The 18,225-nt window shown below is 49.4% G+C and overlaps 1 protein-coding gene and 1 long non-coding RNA gene across 3 annotated transcripts in view, besides 1 other annotated feature; one reads left to right on the top strand and one right to left on the bottom strand.

The window, feature by feature from the left end:
- ADARB2 (adenosine deaminase RNA specific B2 (inactive)) overlaps positions 1-18,225 on the top strand; it is a 560,213-nt gene that overhangs the window by 162,766 nt on the left and 379,222 nt on the right. The window lies entirely within an intron of this gene.
- Positions 15,253-15,753: an enhancer, noted in NCBI's record as "H3K4me1 hESC enhancer chr10:1601202-1601702 (GRCh37/hg19 assembly coordinates)". NCBI's record gives its function as "activates a minimal SCP1, AML or CMV promoter by ChIP-STARR-seq in primed H9 embryonic stem cells {active_cell/tissue: H9 hESC(primed)}" and the evidence as "EXISTENCE:reporter gene assay evidence [ECO:0000049][PMID:30033119]".
- ADARB2-AS1 (ADARB2 antisense RNA 1) overlaps positions 17,752-18,225 on the bottom strand; it is a 30,379-nt gene continuing 29,905 nt past the window's right edge. For both annotated transcript variants that reach the window (NR_033387.2, NR_152792.1), the window contains one exon: positions 17,752-18,149. This is a non-coding gene — a long non-coding RNA (ADARB2 antisense RNA 1). The remainder of the gene's footprint in view (positions 18,150-18,225) is intronic.

The following is an 18,225-nucleotide window of genomic DNA, read 5'->3' as shown; positions in this document are numbered from 1 at the left end:
TTTGGAGGTGGGGTCTTTACAGAGATAATTAAGATAAAATGAGGTCTTTAGGGTGGACCCTACTCCAATCTGCATGGTGTCCTTATAAAAGCAGACGTTAGGACACAGACATGCACAGAGGGAGGACCCCGTGAGGACACAGGGAGACAGCAGGGTCTATAAGGACAGGGACCTTAGGAGGAACCAGCCCTGCCGACACCTTGACCTTGGACACCCAGCCTCCAAAACGCTGGGAACAGGAGTGTCTGTTCACCCAGCCTCCAAAACGCTGGGAACAGGAGTGTCTGTTCTCTGTGGTGCTTTCCAGGAAAGTCTAAGAAGACTTGTGCCACTTCTAACCCGTCCTCTGGCTCCCGTCGTCTGCCCAATTCTCTTTCCTAAAACTCCACCTTTCGCCATGTCCCCTCTGCTTTCAGCACCGGTTTCTCAATCTTCAACTCAAAGCCCTTGTCCCAGCCTGACACCTCATCATCTATGCAGGTTCGACTCATGTCCTCTGAGAAAATGCCCTCAAACCGGCTGTTTCCTTCATGCTGTGCATGTGTAAGAGGCTGTCCGTTCCGTGCTCTCGGCCCACATCACTTGTGGCTCCTCCTCGCTCAGCAGACGGCTCAGCTGGGAGGCGGGAGGGAAGGACGCCACCTTCCATGATTTGCAGCCTCAGGATTCCCTGTGTGGGTATCTAATTTTTTTCCTAAAGGTCTTTCAGATATAAGACACTTTGATCTTCAAAAAATGCCAGGGACATCACGGAGGTCTTGTCATTGTTTTAATGTAAGAAACAAAGGCCCCAAAAGGTTAAGAGATGTAGTTCATGACAGATGGAGGGTTAGCAGGACGTGTCTTGTGTCCTGCCCAGCGGCCATCTTACTGGGTGTCACTGACCTCTATGGCCAGTTGAGGAGCTGGCTGCAGCGGGCTCACTGGGCGGCAGGAGGGCCTCACAAGACCCCGTTGAGCTTGCAGCCCAGGGTGCCCCAGTCCTGGCCCCCATCATCTTGCCTTGAGGGGCTGGGTAGAGCACCGTCCTGCTGGGTGCCTGCTGCATGGAAAACCTCATAACGAGAACCCCAGCATTTTCCTCCTCAACCTCCCAAGGACACTGAGCTCTTCCTCAGGCCTAAGCAAGGAGGTGCAGAGTGCGCCTGGGCCTGGGAGGGGAAGGGGGAGGCCGCCGTGGCCACTGCATGATCCATTTTATTCACCTTCTCTAAGAAATGGACATCAGGGGACGGAATGAGAGTGAGGGTGGGGTGTTGGAGGCACCGGCCTGGCTCTCTGCTGATGGCACCTTTACTTTCTGCTGTGTACTTCGGCCTCACCAGTTTCCGCTCCACACTCAACACATCCCCAAGCTCTTCTGTGACATGAGGAGAAATGGGGGAAGGCCCTTTTATCCCAGGCAGCAGCCATTGACAGCTGGTGCACATGGGGTGGGGAGTTGCAACCTGAGCACAGTTGAGTGCCGGTGACAGCCCCACCGGGGCTCATCCAAGCTGTCCTTTCCCAGCTGAGAGCCCTGGTCCCCTGGCTCACTGAGCCCCTCATCCCCATCAGTGACAGGGACAGGCCCACCCCAGACAAGCACACAGAGCCACTGTCTGCCTCCAAACAAACGTCAGCAGATGCATCCTCTGTTCATTTACTGGCCTCCTGAACTGAAGCCCAAAGCCCTGTTCTGAGCTCCACCTCTGCTGAGAGCTCGCTGGCCTGCAGGAGCCTGGGCTGCTGAAGCCAACCCTCTCACAGGCTGGGGCCACTCTGGCCATGTAAATGAGCACTCGGGGGCAGTGGATGTGGAGAAAGGTCACCGCTGCAGGAAAAGACCTGCCTACAGTGCTGCAGTAGGGTGTGTGAGTGAGCCAAGCAGGGAAACGCTGTACGTGGGTGCAGAAGAGCACTAGGAGCATTTGGGGGCCCAGAAGCACCAGCAGCAAATGTCCACGCAGGGGAAGTCCTGGCTCAGGATGGCCCCTGGGGAGCCCAGGCTGCAGCACCTGCTCTCTGGATCCTCCCACTCAGTGACCTCCTCTTCACTGCCCTTCTTCCCCAGCCCTCTCTCTTAACAAAGCTTTGTGTTTATTTTCTTCTTTATCTACTATTTACTGAGGGCTCAGTATTATGCCAAGTTCTGCCCACATCCTACCCAGTCAGTACTCAGCCCAGCATGGCGCAGAGGTGGTCCTTCCATTTTATAAGTGAGAATGACAAGACTTGGGCACTTGTCTCTTCTATACAAACCAACATGCTACAAAACAAAACAAACACCCTCACAGTCATTCAGATGGACGAGAAAGGGCACCCACCGTCAGTTCCTGAAGAGCCTCCTGCAGCCATTTTTATCTTCCCTCTTCTATATGCTGGTGGCGTCACAGCATAGCTGCCTGATGCCTGCCTGGCTCAGCCCTGTAGAGACCTGAGATAAACAGGTGCCCACTCACCTGCACACGCACCTGCAAGCTCACCTGTTCACTCATCTTCACACTCACCTGCCTTCTCACCAGCACACTCACCTGCATACTCACCTGCCTACTCACTTGTACACTCACCTGCACACTCACCAGCACACTCACCTGCCTACTCGCCTGCACACTCACCTGCACACTCACCTGTCCACTCACCTGCACACTCACCTGCCTACTCACCTGTCCACTCACCTGCACACTCACCAGCACACTCACCTGTCCACTCACCTGCACACTCCCCTGTCCACTCACCTGCACACTCACTTGCCTACTCACCTTTCCACTCAGCAGCACACTCACCTGCACACTCACCAGCACACTCACCTGCACACTCACCTGCCTACTCACCTGTCCGCTCACCAGCATATCACCTGCCTACTCACCTTTCCACTCACCAGCACACTCACCTGCCTACTCGCCTGCACACTCACCTGCATACTCACCTGCCCACTCACCAGCATATCACCTGCATACTCACCTGTCCACTCACCTGTCCACTCACCAGCATATCACCTGCCTACTCACCTGTCCACTCACCTGCACACTCACCTGTCCATTCACCTGCACACTCACCAGCACACTCACCTGTCCACTCACCTGTCCACTCACCTGCACACTCACCTGCACACTCACCTGTCCACTCACCTGCATACTCACCTGCCTGCTCGCCTGCACTCTCACCTCTGCAACTAAATGAAAGGGGAGATGAAAGAGGGAGTCCTGATACCCACGTATCTGGCTTCATAGCTCCTCAGGAACTGCAGCTGCCACAATATCCACAATTCTTACTCATTTGCAGCAGAAAAACATTTCAAATCCCAGTGGTGATTTTGCTTTGAACAACTCCACACCATTTATCTGTTTTACTTCCTAAATTTATAATGAGAAAATATCACAGAACACAAACATGATTGAAATAAACTATAGTATCAGTATCAAGCACCAAGCAAATATTTTCATGAAATTGTAAACAAAACCTGTCATACAGGCTTTTTTTAAAAAAAAAAAAGTAAAAATAGATCAAAAGTTACACTTCTAAAAGTATACAGTATGATCCCAGTTTTGCTCTGCAGTAAAGTGTGTGTCTCCTTTGCTGGATGGCAGATGTTCAAATGCGAGGGCCTTCAAGAAAAGACTTTAGAGTGGGCTTTCTTTTAACTCCACCTTAATTCTGAGTGCATTAAAAATTATTCTTAGAAATGCTGATTCTTTCACATCATTCGATATTTATTTATTGGAATAAATAAATGGAATCAATTCAATTCCATGAAACTGGAAGACCCAATGACAGGTTTTGTCTGGGAGGCAGGAGACCCTAAAGCCCAGCAGGTGTTTGCCCTGAGTTCCCCATTGGCCAGACTGTGCTCTCAGATGATTGGAGCAGCAGCCTCTCCTGCACCTGTCACTCAAGTCCTCCGGTTTCCAGGATGCGGGCTCCCATCCTCCTGGAAGTTTCCAGCATGCGGTGTTCTCTCTGTGTCCCCACTCAGGTCCAGCGCCCCCCTGTCCCTGTGGGTTCCTATCTGCCCCGTCCTCCCAGCCACTACAATAACCAGCCCCCATGCCTTTCCGAAGCACTAGCAGGACTCACTTTGGTCTTTTGCCTGTCAGAATCCCCATCTTCTCCCATAGTTGTGCCCTCCTGACTCACCCACTGCTGTGACAGGCCAGGGGGCATGAGACTCTCTGGTGAGAGAAATGATGTAAGACTGCCACATGATCTGAGGCAAAAGGTCTGTGCTTCAGCTGAGGCTTCACCAAGAAATCAGCAAATCCTGAAGCCACCAGGCTTAGAGACACACTCGGGAGGGAGGCCTTTCCTGCCGTGCGGTGAGCATGGTGCCTGCCCGTCCTGCTTCCCCTCCACTGTCACTGGGCATTCTACCCAGCACCTCGCAGGTGCAGGTGCTGGGGGACCCAAAAGGGAGAAAGCCGTGGTTAATCAGCCCAGGTAGCAACCGCCAAGGGGGAGAGACAGCAAAGCAAACACATGTGTTTAGTACATCTTAAAAAAAAGCAGTCTCGAGCTAAATCCTAGTGTATATTCACCATACCGCAAACATTTTTAAATAGTGGCACACTCAACTTCAACATATACTGTTAAAAAATAAAACCGCACAAATCGATATGTCATAAGTGGATGCATTTAACATCTTCTAAATTATACTGAAGTTTTAAGGTAATTTTAACGTATATACGTTTGTATGTGAATGAGACAACAAATCTTGTTCTCGGTGCCAAAAATCAATATATGTAGTTTTCATGTCAGGAGAAACTGCTACTTTCAAAATGGAGTTCCCAGACATGGTTTAGTAATATATTCAAGGAAGAAAACAGTGACCAACAATGTGAATTATTTTTGGTTTCCTTTTTGATTTAAATAATAATTGTCAATGTCCCAAGGCAGTATAAAAATGTAGGGATAAAAAACAAGCAGTGCCAAATGCTGCCATTCTTTTAGGACGTCATTTATAAGAAAGTCTTGAGCATAATATCATAGTATTTTGAGCAGTATTACATTTTTTTAAAAAAAAATGATACTTTAGAAAATAATTTCTATGTGTCTAGAGTATGAAGGCAAAATATGATCAAATTTATGGCCAATTAAACCCTAAACTGATTTTAAGATATGACAAATGGTTGCATTTAATTTCTAAAAAGGAGACAGGTGCGAATATAGAAATGCTTACTTCCAAAGGCCTCCTCCTCTGCAGCTCATCAGAACAGAATTTAAGAATAAAATCAGAAGCTGAAAAATAGACGGAGTCAGAACCCAGAGGCAACCTTTGCTGACCTCGTTAGGTGTTGGGTAAACCAGCCACGCTCCCTCTGGGAATGAGAGAGGATTGCTCCCCAACTGCCCATCCTCTCTACATGCCTCCTGCTGCTCACGTTCTGCAGGCTGGGGGTTCATGACACAGGCTGTGTGTCTGGTGCCACACGATGGGCAAGAAACAGCAAAGAAGCAGCCGCTGCTGGAGGCCACTGGGTACATTCTGGATCCAGTTCTCTCTCTCTGTCTCTCTCTCTCGCTCTCTGTCTCTCCCCCGCCACCACCTTCTCTTTTGGTCACTGTCTCTCTCTCTGCCTCTGTCTCTGCCTCTCTCTCTCTCTGTCCCTCTCCTTATATATCTCTGTCTCTCTCTGACTCTCTGTCTCTCTCTTTGTCTCTGTCTCTTTCTTTATATCCCTGTCTCTCTCTGTCTGTCTCTGTGTGTCTGTCTCTGTCTCTCTTTCTCTCTGTCTCTCTATCTCTGTCCCGCTCTGTCTCTGTCTCTCTGTGTCTCTCTCTCACCATCTCGCCTCGCCTTCTAATGGGCGCATCTCCTGTCTCAGATCCTTCCAGGTCATCATACAAATCGTAACTTATTCACTTGGGGAACTGAACTAGCCACAGAGGCTCAAGACAAATGGGGGATTCTGCCGTGTGTGCTTTGTCCATTTAGCTCATAGATAGATAGATAGATAGATAGATAGATAGATAGATAGATAGAGATAGAGACATATAGATATATGCACACAGAAGTTTAGATTCAAAAGTCAGCATTTCAGGAGTTGGGCCCAGTGTCAGTAAATCAGATCTGCTTACCTGTCCAAGGGCCTGGTCTCCAAACTCCTTAGGAAACAGTGACATTTTAACTCCATGTGAAGACCTCCAGCTTTCTTTCCTTCCTTCCTTCCTCCCTCCCTCCCTCCTTTCCTCCTTCCTCTCTTTTTTCTTTCTTCCTTCCTTCTTTTCTTTCTTTCTTTTCTTTCTTCTTTCATCTTTTTGGTATTTTTTAAACTATTAACTTGGCAAATAGCCTTTTACTAAAACCACAGACTTCTGGGTTCACGTGGGCAGGTTGACTGGTGAGAAGTTTGGTTGCGGGGAGCCAGTGTCTGCGGAGACGGCCCCGCAGCTGGACCGTGTGTTCGCTGAGGCCCCTCCGGCTGGACCATCGGTGCTGCTTTTCTGTGCTGCTGGTGCAGGAGCCCTTCCTTCCCTCCGCCTCCCCGCTGAGCGTTTCCTGGCAGCCGTGGTCCCAAGCTCCATCTAGACCAATATAGGACACCAGGGCAGAGTCAGGACAGCGGAGGCCTGGCCAAGCCTCTGTTGAAACTCCTCAGCTATGTCAAGGGTTCCCCAGTGGCGGCTCAGGCCCTGCGAGGTGACACTGTTCCCCGGGTGGTTTGCACTGCGCCGTCTCTCACTGGTCACTGAGATGATTCAGTATTCTTCAGTTGTGTTTCCTGTGAACCTGTTTAAGTTTCCTGTGAGTTAGAGAGAATGGCAGCTGCTGCTGTGTGACACAGGTTCCCAAGGATCGAGCTGCTCCAGATGGGGTGATGCCGTGCCATCAACGGTGTCTCTGAGCTGCTCCCGCAGGCAGGAGGCAAAGGGCACTCCGAGGAGTCAGGATCAGATCCCGGGCCTGTCTGGCTGCTAAACACCTTGGCCTCGAGTGAGGCACATAACCATCCATTCCTCAGTTTCCCATTCCTTCAACAAACGCTCTTTGAGCCCCTGCTGTGCGCATGGTAGTGGACGAATCCTTGTGAGGAAGATAGTGGTGAGGAAGAGAGGATAAAAGAAGGTCTGCCTCCAAGACATCGAGCATCAGCAGCCTCGAAGTCAGCAGTGCCCTGGTAGGGCTGTGGAGGCACCTGGGCAGAGCTAAGAGGCACAAGCACGAAGCCTCCATGCCTGGCCACGTCCTGTGTCCTGGCATGAAGTCCCCTGGCAGGGGCTGACCGTCCTTTCATTTTCTCTTCAGAGTGGGGGCAGTTTGCTTTGGGTCCCGACAGATTGATGGAAGGATTGTGGCCAGTGAGGGTCCCCTGGCCTGGGAGAGTGGGAGGGACAGACCTGGGATGTGAACCTTGGGCAAGGTGCAGAGACCCATGCTAAAGCCAACACCCACAGCCACATCCAGGCACCACCCATCCCACCGCACTGGGTTCACGCCTGCGAGCTCAAAGCACGTTGGGAGAAAGAGCATCTAGAAAGTACTGGGTCATCTCAGGCTTCTTGGAAAAGGATTTGAAGTGGACGGGCAGGTTTTCAAAAGACCAGACTCCAATCTTCCAAATGCACAGGCATCAGTGTGAGCAGGTCTGCTTCTCGGTGGGGGGAGGACCCACAGACTTCCTCTGAGCATCACAGGGACCCCCAGTCACCCTCAGCCTCACCCACATGGGTGCCCACTGGCCTTCCTACTGTTCGTCCTTCGCTCTCTAAACTTCCACAATTCTAAGTCTGCTCTGAAGTCTAAACTAAAGAGAATACAATTAAGAATTCTTACTTACATTGTATTTCTAAAACCCCAGGGTTTTTATTTTCTTTCCTGACAGGTGTGTTGTATATTTATACTTCTTCATTTCTGATCTTCCTATTAATTTTAAGTCAATTATAGTGACATTATTTTCTGTTCATAAAAATTGCTTTAGCCAGATGTTAGAATTTTAAAGAATGTAGTTATATGGAAGCACACATTTAAGAAAGGAACATATACATGCATGGAATTTTGCAGTTAAAATCGTTATATGTAGATAAACAATATATAGAAGAGTTAAACAGGATATGTAAAACTAAATAGTGTATAATTCAGCCTCCAGTTTAGAATGCAATCACCACATCTAACAAAGTGACACAAATTTTTTAACTAATGATTTGAGTTGCAATTTCTCTCATTGAATCTGCCATCTGCTATTAGAAAATATACATCACTGAATCACATACAATTGTTCTACTGAAAAATGAAGGCACTTCTTTTTCCCCACAGTAACCACTAAAACGCTGTCCATTATTTCCAAATTACTTTCTCGTGTGCACAGCTATTGAGGGAAAGCAATTAGGATTTCATGGTACCTGGTCTTTAGAGTAGCAACTTGGGAAAACAAATTAGAATTGCTAACGAAAGAGAAAAAACAATTTCTTAGTACCGTTCTTTAAAGGAGACACATGTGTAGACTGAAAATATGAATCCTTTTCTAAACCAGGATGCTGTTAAGTGGGCAAGGGGTGCTAGCAGAAATTACATGGTACGGGGACAAAAGCTGGGTCTGTCCCTGGCAAATCCAACAACTGCTAACCCTGGGTATGTGACATGACAGTGAAAGCTTCACAGGAAGTAAACCATCTTACAAACAATTACAAAATATTCTCAACTAGATACACACACACTCACTGTACACAGGGGAGTTTTTTTTTTTTTTTTTTTTTTTTTTTTTTTTTTTTTTTTTTTTTTTGCTAGACTGAGCTCAACCTAGAGGAGAAGTAACGATGAGAAAAGTATTAAGATCTTTTAACTCTGTCCTTCTCAGACCAGCCTACATGGAGGGCTCTGCAATCCTGGCTTCCTTTGCTTGCAGAGTTAAGCTGAGACGGTGATGGCTGATAGGGTGGGGTGCAGAGTTACAGGCAGGACCAGAGCAGGCAATGCTGCCCACCACGGAGAAGCGCGTGAACACACCGAACCTCCAAGACAGATGACCGAAATGTCCCTTCTTTCCAGGAATCTTCTTCGGATAAAATACTCATTCCTAATACTTTGATGAAATAAGTGTCTTTGGCATACCACAAACACAGTGTATAGTCAGCCGGGACAAATTGTGGAAAACAGGAGGAAAAAGCTGCTTGCCCTCACTCGACAGAGTAAGGTAAATTATTCTAGGTGGCCAAATTCTAGTATTCAAATCTCTCTTTTCCTGGGTGGCAGAAGTCAGACGCCTTTCAAAAATGCTCCCTAATTGTTTCTAAGGCCCCCAAGAGATTGGCCCCTTTCCCTGCTGCCTCCCCTCAGCCTCTTCTCCTCTTGTGGACACTTTCAGTTCCATTTCAGAAATTCCAAGTATATCCATGGATCTAAAAAGATAGACAGCACCGGAGAAGACAGCGTGCTTAGAGAAGGGGGAGGGGAGGCATAACATTACATGCATACCCATGTATTTATAGTGGTTCATGAAGACGCATTCGATCTGTGTTGCAGGCAATGATTTTTCCTGGAATTAGATTAAAACAGAAAAAGACACAATAAGAGGTTTCTTGTGTCTTTTGTATAAAGAAACCAGAATAATGCACATAAATATATCCAAAGTTGTAGACTGAGAGACATACAGATGATCATGGGGCAAATTACAGGCCAGAGCACAATGAGAGGTCCAGAACCTAAAATGTTATCAAGCAAATTTCACAGAAGACCTGGTGCCAGCGTAATCAGAAGGACAGGAATGGTATCATTCCAGGCGAGGAGAGCGGAGAGCCCTGCACGGGAGGGAGGGGAAGGCACCGGTGCTGCTGCACGTCGGCCCCCAGGCCAGGTGGGATGCAGGTCTACGGCCGAGGCCAGGCCTGAATCGCTGGAGGAGCCATTGCTCAAATTCTCTAGAAATTAGATGAATTGAGATCACAGGAATCTTGAATTCACCCTGCGGCCCACTGACCCTAAGAGCTGTTAAGGCAAAAGGCATTGCTATTATTACAAAGCTCTGGGTTTGTTTTAAAGGCAGAAATTAAAAAAAAAAAAAAGGTAATAAAAGTAAAATCACCTGTTGTTTCCTGACTTTTTAATGATTGCCATTCTAACTGGTGTGAGATGGTATCTCGCTGTGGTTTTGATTTGCATTTCTCTGATGGCCAGTGATGGTGAGCATTTTTTCATGTGTTTTTTGGCTGCATAAATGTCTTCTTTTGAGAAGTGTCTGTTCATGACCTTTGCCCACTTTTTGATGGGGTTGTTTGTTTTTTTCTTGTAAATTTGTTTGAGTTCATTGTAGATTCTGGATATTAGCCCTTTGTCAGATGAGTAGGTTGCAAAAATTTTCTCCCATTTTGTAGGTTGCCTGTTCACTCTGATGGTAGTTTCTTTTGCTGTGCAGAAGCTCTTTAGTTTAATTAGATCCCATTTGTCAATTCTGGCTTTTGTTGCCATTGCTTTTGGTGTTTTAGACATGAAGTCCTTGCCCATGCATATGTCCTGAATGGTAATGCCTAGGTTTTCTTCTAGGGTTTTTATGGTTTTAGGTCTAACGTTGGATGTGGAGAAATAGGAACACTTTTACACTGTTGGTGGGACTGTAAGCTAGTTCAACCATTGTGGAAGTCAGTGTGGCGATTCCTCAGGGATCTAGAACTAGAAATACCATTTGACCCAGCCATCCTATTACTGGGTATATACCCAATGGACTATAAATCATGTTGCTATAAAGACACCTGCACACGTATGTTTATTGCGGCATTATTCACAATAGCAAAGACTTGGAACCAACCCAAATGTCCAACAATGATAGACTGGATTAAGAAAATGTGGCACATATACACCATGGAATACTATGCAGCCATAAAAAATGATGAGTTCATGTCCTTTGTAGGGACATGGATGAAATTGGAAATCATCATTCTCAGTAAACTATCGCAAGAACAAAAAACCAAACACCGCATATTCTCACTCATAGGTAGGAATTGAACAATGAGAACACATGGACACAGGAAGGGGAACATCACACTCTGAGGACTGTTGTGGGGTGGGGGGAGGGGGGAGGGATAGCACTGGGAGATATACCTAATGCTAGATGACGAGTTAGTGGGTGCAGTGCACCAGCATGGCACATGTATACATATGTAACTGACCTGCACATTGTGCACATGTACCCTAAAACTTAAAGTATAATAATAATAAAAAAAAAAGTAAAATGAAATGTCCTATAGAGACAGGGAGTGCTCTCTCTTCCTCAAGTCAGCCTTCTGTTTGTTCCATAAACTGGCGCGATTATAGTAGTGGCCTTATATTCATTCAACAAAATTTCATCAGTGGCCTCTTAATAATTAAGTGGCCAAGGAGGATAAGATGATTAAGCTAAGCTATAGCCAGCAGCAAGCATCTGATGTGGGAGATGGATGCAGGAGGTCATATGAGGGGGACGCAGGGACACACATGAGCACCTTAGAGCAACCACGTTCTCACCATAGGCAGATCTAAAGGGTGTGGGAGATCTTGTGGGGAGGATGCAGGGATACACGTCCGCACCTTAGGGGGACCACGTTCTCACCATGGACAGCTCTAAAGGGAGCGGGAGGTCACCTGGGGAGTCGCAGGGACAGAGGTCAGCACCTTAGAGGGACCACGTTCTCACCCTGGACAGCTCAAAGGGTGCGGGAGGTCACATGTGGAGGACACAGGGACTCACGTCAGCACCTTAGGGAGACCACGTTCTCACCCTGGACAGCTCAAAGGGTTCAGGAGGTCACGTGCGGAGGACACAGGGACTCAAGTCAGCACCTTAAGTGAATGACGTTCTCACCACAGACAGTGCCACAGGGTGCGGGAGCTCAGCATGAGAAGTGCTTCTTTCTGGCTGAGAGATTAAGGAAACATTTGTTGAAGGAGCAATTGAAGAAGAGGAAGAATAGTAATAACAACTTCAATCATATTTCTTGAGTCTCTGCCATGAGGGACACCACTGTCACCTGCATTGTCTCCAGCCCATGCAGTGGCCTCCCCACACCCCTGCAAGGGCAAAGGCCTGACCTTGGCTGTCCTACTGAAGAACGTGAGGCAAAGAAGTGAAGTGGCCTGCCCATCATGGCAGGCTGGTAACTGGCAGAACCATGATTTGAATTCAGGTCTAGCCCAATGCCGAGGGCCAGCCTCCAGGAAGTATTCCAACCAGGGGGGTGTCATTCTCCTTTTTAGGAATATTCAATAGCACCTACTATATGCTAGGCCTTATCACAGGTGCTGGAGATAAATGAGCGATTACAGATCGTAACTGGCATGTACTGAGCCAGTTCCAGGGAGACAGCTCATGACTGCACCGCATATACCTGACAGGCTAGATTTTGTTGTCTGACACTTGAGGAGCAGGTTCAGAAATGCTGGGAACCTTTTCTCCCAGTGATGGAGTGAGGCTCGTAACTAGGAGGGTCTGATGGCAGAGCCCCGATCCTAACCTCTTTGTCCTGCGACTTTTGACCCTGCCAGAAAGAAACGGCAGCTGCACAAGTGATGAGGGCCTCATGTGATGAGGGCTGGGAGGGACATGGATTGGCAGCATGAGCCGAACACGCTCACAGGAGAATGGCCAGATCTAGGGGCCCGGAGGTGAATGCTCAAGGTGAACAAAAGCTGACTGGGCTTGGGAGGGGGTTGGGCGGGGTGAGAGGGGCTGCTCCAGGCAGAAGAACCAAGGGTCCCTGAGAAGAGAGGACACGTGGCGGGGGCCCCTGAGAACCGCACTGTGAATGGCCAGAGGGAGACGGGTTCCGGCTGAGGCAGGACCACTCCTGGGAGGCGATGAGCTCGGAAGCTGGGGCTGCACCCAGAGGTGACTGCAGTTCACAGAAGCATTTTAGCAGGATCTGATTTGCATATTTCCAGGGCTTCTAGGCATCAGGAGCAAAGACACGATGTGGCAATCCTGGTTGCATGGGCAAGAGTGGGAGAGGGGAAGTGGAGTGAGCATGAAGTGGCTGCCGAGGGAGCGGCGGTGCTGGGGAAAGCGGCTCTAGGCCACATCGGGAGGATCCTGAGTGCCAAGGAGCCCCTGAAGGTCTTCGGGCAGGAGGAGCCTCTCAGACCTCCACCTGGGGGGAGTTCTAGGGTACGGTGCATGAGATTCATTTAGGAAGCTCTTATCAGCATCCAGGATCAGGCCCAGCAGCTGCATGGGGGACCAGGTGGAGAGAGGGGTGGACTGGCAGGTTCCGGCAACTCCCCCAAATCTGGGATTAAGAAAAGGCTCCGAAATGATCATATGGTTCTCAGCCTGGGTGAACAGAGAAGGGGTCTAATTTGGTCTTTTGTTCATTTTGTTTTGTCTTGTTAAATCTTCAGTGCTTGAAACAGTGGTGAGCCCATCATAAACCCTCAGGAAATAGTTGTTGAAGAATATGTTGAATGCTGTATGAAGTCAATTCCAAAAAACTAGGCAGTCAAGGAAATGAGCAAGTTTGGGACTGATGAAAATAAATTCATGTATCTGTACCTTGCATTTGAAGCACAAGTTGTCTGGGTCTATGACATCCAGTCCCGCAGCCAGGGCACACGTGCCAATTACACACTCAGAGCTGGGCAGGTCTGGAGAGAGAGGGGCTGCCAGTGACCCACACACAACACATTTCAAAGAAAAAATGAATTTCAAGTATCTCCTTGATGTCTTTATATTGATTACAAGTTGATATAATCATGTTTTGGACATACTGGGATGATAAAATTTATTATTAAAATTAGTTTCACTTGTGTTTTTTACTGAGCATCTAGAAAATTTAGTGGTACCCCTGTGGCTCACGTTACGTTTCTGTTGGACGGTGAGTGAGGATCTGAAACTCTAGGTCAGGTATTTAGAAACCCAAGTCTGTAGTACACGAGGCCCTCACTGGAGAAAGAGAGGCAAGGTTGCCCTGCATTTTGGCAAGACGTATTTGGAAGAGAGGACATTTTCTCTCTGTGTACCTTATTCAAAGGCAAGGGTTTCCTGCAGGTCTTCAAACTCCCTGCAACAGCCAGCTGCCCAGTCTGGGGCTCGGTGTAGACAGATGACCGTCCACAAGTCCCTGGGAGGCTGCGTCTGCTCCGACATCCTCGGCTCCTGACCCTGCTTGCCTGCCTGGGCGAGAGTGTGGCTTTTTCTGCCTGTCCTGACTTCCCTGACTGCAGTCTTACAATTGCCTGGACTTTCCAGGACTGCCAGACTCTCCAGCTTTGCTGGAGAACTCTCCAATCCAACCCACCCCCCGTGTGTTCACGCGTGTGTGACGACCCAGGGTGCCCCCCGTGTGTTCACGCGTGTGTGACGACCCAGGGTGCCCCCCGTGTGTTCACGCGTGTGTGACGACCCAGGGTGCCCCCCGTGTGTTCACGCGTGTGTGACGACCCAGGGTGCGCCTCGTGATGACCCAGGGTGCACCAGGGTCATTGAAATGCATCCTTCTCGTCTGATTTTCTGCTGCATGTGATGGGTGAAAGAAGTTGTTAAACTCTTGCTGCTTTTTACTAAAACGAATGTGGTTTTGATCAAATAATGTTTCTAATTAATCACTCCTGACCTCTTGGCAGGAACAAGGGAGAAAGTAGATCCTATTCTTTTCAAGGCTGCATTTCAGGAACAGGCTTCAGTTGGGGGGTCCAGAAAAACACAAACATTTGGCTCTCTTTTCTTTTCAGGAATTTTTAGAGAAATGCATTAGGGAGCCGACTAGTCTGGGAATCTTAGGATTTGTTAGATAAGTAATCCAAGTTGGCCTTGGAAGACGAAAATCTCACATCTTAACCTTTGTCCTAGATATGAAAATAGGTTGTTTACACTGACAGTTTTCACCTGCCGTCCACGCAGTGGGATTCCTCACTCAGATCTGATGCGGAGCCCAGGGTTCTTTAACAATCAGAAGCCCGCTGCTCCCCCGAGGGTGAGGACACGCTTCTGAGAAGCCGCCCATCTCTAGCGATGATGAGAATGTCACCGCAACATGGGCTCCTCTTTATAAACTGTTTTTGCTTGCTTAGTCCTATCATTTTTACTTCCTGCTCCAACAAGAAAAGACCTGTCAAATCTACAGAAAACCCTATGAAATTTCTTAAAATGTGTAAAATCATCAGTCAACCGAGGGCAGGACTGTGGAGTCGCTAAGCGAGGCATTTGTTTTCTGGTGTGATTCTCGCCCTGTTCCTCCACCGCTGACCTCAGCACCACCCCCCACCGGCCCAGGCTCCTCCTGACCGTCTTGTGTCAAAATCTGAACTAGGATCTGCTTGTCAGCACCCATCCCCTGTCACGGTAGCTTAAGTGCCACATCTCCAGAGGGCATCTGTCCTTTGAGCCAGGCCAGTGGTGGAAGAGAAGTCCCCTATCTCGGGGGCACAGGCGTCCACCCAGTGGACCAGCCTCTGGAGGACCCTCCCCAGGGAATGTGACCCGTGTCACTTGCAGGATCTTAGAGAGACTCCGACCTCACCACGCACGTTAGCATCTCAGGACCCTTGACACCTTGTCGGGGACAGCTCCAAGAGCCAGTGATCACAGCCCTTATCAGCCAAAACCCATATCCACACTGCAACATGATCTGTTCAGCCCTCTTTCCTCTCCCACAGCAATGTGTATTTCCATAAAAGCAGCAGAGTCCTGGGTGGGGAGAAGCAAGTATCTGGCATTTATCTTGGAAACCACATCATTCTCTCTTGAGCTTGGATTTGACAGGCCCTGCAGCTGAAGTGCATCAGTGTCTTAAAGCCTCATGTGGATGTGTACGTGGACTGTCTCAGCACTGGGGATGCGATTGAGAGACTTTATCCGCCTTTCCCAAGCCTCAAAAGCAGTGCCAGACACAGACACCAGATGTACATGTGCCAGGCTTTGAGTCCAAACGTGAACAAACCAGCCCACTGTTGGTTCTCATGGAACATAAACATCCACGCATAAAACAGAAACACATGCATGTTATGCTGGGAAGTGGTCATGGCTCTGAAGAAAAATAAGGCAAGCTGAGCACCCATGGAGGGGCGCAGAGGTGGGATTCGAGTTTAGATGGAGCATGCGGGGGCTGAGCACCCACGGAGTGGGGCGGAGGTGGGATTCGAGTTTAGATGGAGCATGCGGGGGCTGAGCACCCACAGAAGGGGGCAGAGGTGGGATGTGGATTTAGATGGGGCATGGGGGTGCTGAGCACCCACGGAGGGGGGCAGAGGTGGGATTCGAGTTTAGATGGAGCATGCAGGGGCTGAGCACCCACAGAAGGGGACAGAGGTGGGATGCAGATTTAGATGGGGTGCGTGGGGGCTGAGCACCCACAGAAGGGGACAGAGGTGGGATGCAGATTTAGATGGGGTGTGTGGGGGCTGAGCACCCACGGAGGGGGGCAGAGGTGGGATGTGGATTTAGATGGGGCATGGGGGTGCTGAGCACCCACGGAGGGGGGCAGAGGTGGGATTCGAGTTTAGATGGAGCATGCGGGGGCTGAGCACCCACAGAATGGGACAGAGGTGGGATGCGGATTTAGATGGGGTGCGTGGGGGCTGAGCACCCACGGAGGGGGGACAGAGGTGGGATGTGGATTTAGATGGAGCATGCGGGGTCTGAGCACCCATGGAGGGGGGCAGAGGTGGGATGAAGATTTAGATGGGGCACGCGGGGTCTCTCCGGGGAGACGGTGCCCAGGCACAGCCTGGGGGTGGGAAGGATGGAGACGTGAGGGTTCCAGAGTCACGGGGTCCAGGAAGCTCCTTTCTTCTTTGCTCCATGAAAAGCATGGAAGCCACGCTCACTGCTGGGCCTGGGGTGATGCCACTGAGGCTGGGAACTCAGCTGCTTGCAGCTGCTTTAAAAGGAGGGCAGGGAATGTGGCAGCCACAGATGCTGGAAGAACATGGATTTTGTTTTGTTTTGTTTTGTTTTTAGATAGGGTCTCCCTCTGCTGTGCAGGCTGGAGTGCAGTGGCGCAACCTCAGCTCACCGCAACCTCAGCTCACCGCAACCTCCGCCTCCCGGGTTCAAACGATTCTCATGTCTCAGGCTCCAGAGTACCTGGGATTACAGATGCCCACCACTACCCCCAGCTAATTTTTTGTGTGTGTATTTTGTATTAGAGATGGGGTTTCACCATGTTGGTCAGGCTGGTCTCGAACACCTGGCCTCAGGTGATCCACCCGCCTGGGTCTCCCAAAGTGCTGGGATTACAGGTGTGAGCCACTGCACCCGGCCCGGAAGTTCTTTTGATAAAATAAACAAATGTGGGCAACAGCTCGGAATTAGGAAGGTGAAGAACTGTTGGAGGCTTTGTTGAGCCTGGAAATTGCAAAATAGCTGCCTGGGAAAACAGAATTATAAATTAACCAGGAAATGTGCTGGACTGGCGGGAAGCGTGGGGCCTGTTGGAGGACCGTGGCTGCGAATTTTAGGCGACTCCAGGTGGCAGGGTTTGCCGTTTCCCTCCAGCCAGGTTTCAAGGAGCCTGGCTGACGGGTTGAGAGTTGGAGCTGCCAGGGTCAAGGTCACTCCAAGGTCACTCCCAGGTCCAGGTGCACTTGACAGAGGAGGGACAGGCAGGAGCCCAGCACCAAGGGGAGGACGGGGAGTCAGACGAGGTGGTGGCTGGGCAAAGATGGGGGCACCATGGACTGGACACAGTGGCTGGGTAAAGATGGGAGCACAGTCGACTGGACATGGTGACTGGGCAAAGACGGGGGGCGCCATGGACTGGACACCTGAAACTGAGGCAATGGAAGGAAAGAGGTACCCTCGGACAGTGGGATGCTTAAACTGAGGTTTCCAAGGAGGGACAGGTTTTGGTGATGACCACAGGACTCAAGAAGAAAAGTGAGATGCAGGACAAGATTCCTGGAGGTGAAAATTGTCTGGATTAAAGACCAAGTTATTACCTTCATAAATATTGAGGTCACCAAAAATAGTGATAGGAATAGAGGTCAAAAGAGGCCTCATTCAGGTACCAAACCTTCCCCCATGAGGAGGGGTTGTGCAGAAAATCTGCAGCAGAGCAAGTGTCTGCAGCATATGCTTCCAGGGACAGAGCTGTGGTCAGGGGCAGGAAGATCTGGGGTCTTCCTGGGGGCCGGCTGGCTCCCACACAACTCTGTTGACATGGGCAGGCAGGGTGGATGTGCCCTCTGGTCCCGGTTTGCTGAGCTCTGGTTGCAGCCGGGGTACTTGGAGCGCAATGTGATGTGAGAACAGACATCAGGGCATCCTCGACAGCTGCAAAAGAGACAGAAAAAAGCAAATGCTCAGGCCCTCCCCAGACCATGGAGTCGAAATCTCCAGTTAATAAGAT

Source organism: Homo sapiens, chromosome 10, assembly GCF_000001405.40.
Source record: "Homo sapiens chromosome 10, GRCh38.p14 Primary Assembly".
Lineage (NCBI taxonomy): Eukaryota > Metazoa > Chordata > Mammalia > Primates > Hominidae > Homo > Homo sapiens.
The sequence above is the reverse complement of the archived record's forward strand: the minus strand, read 5'-3'. Positions and strand labels throughout refer to the sequence as shown.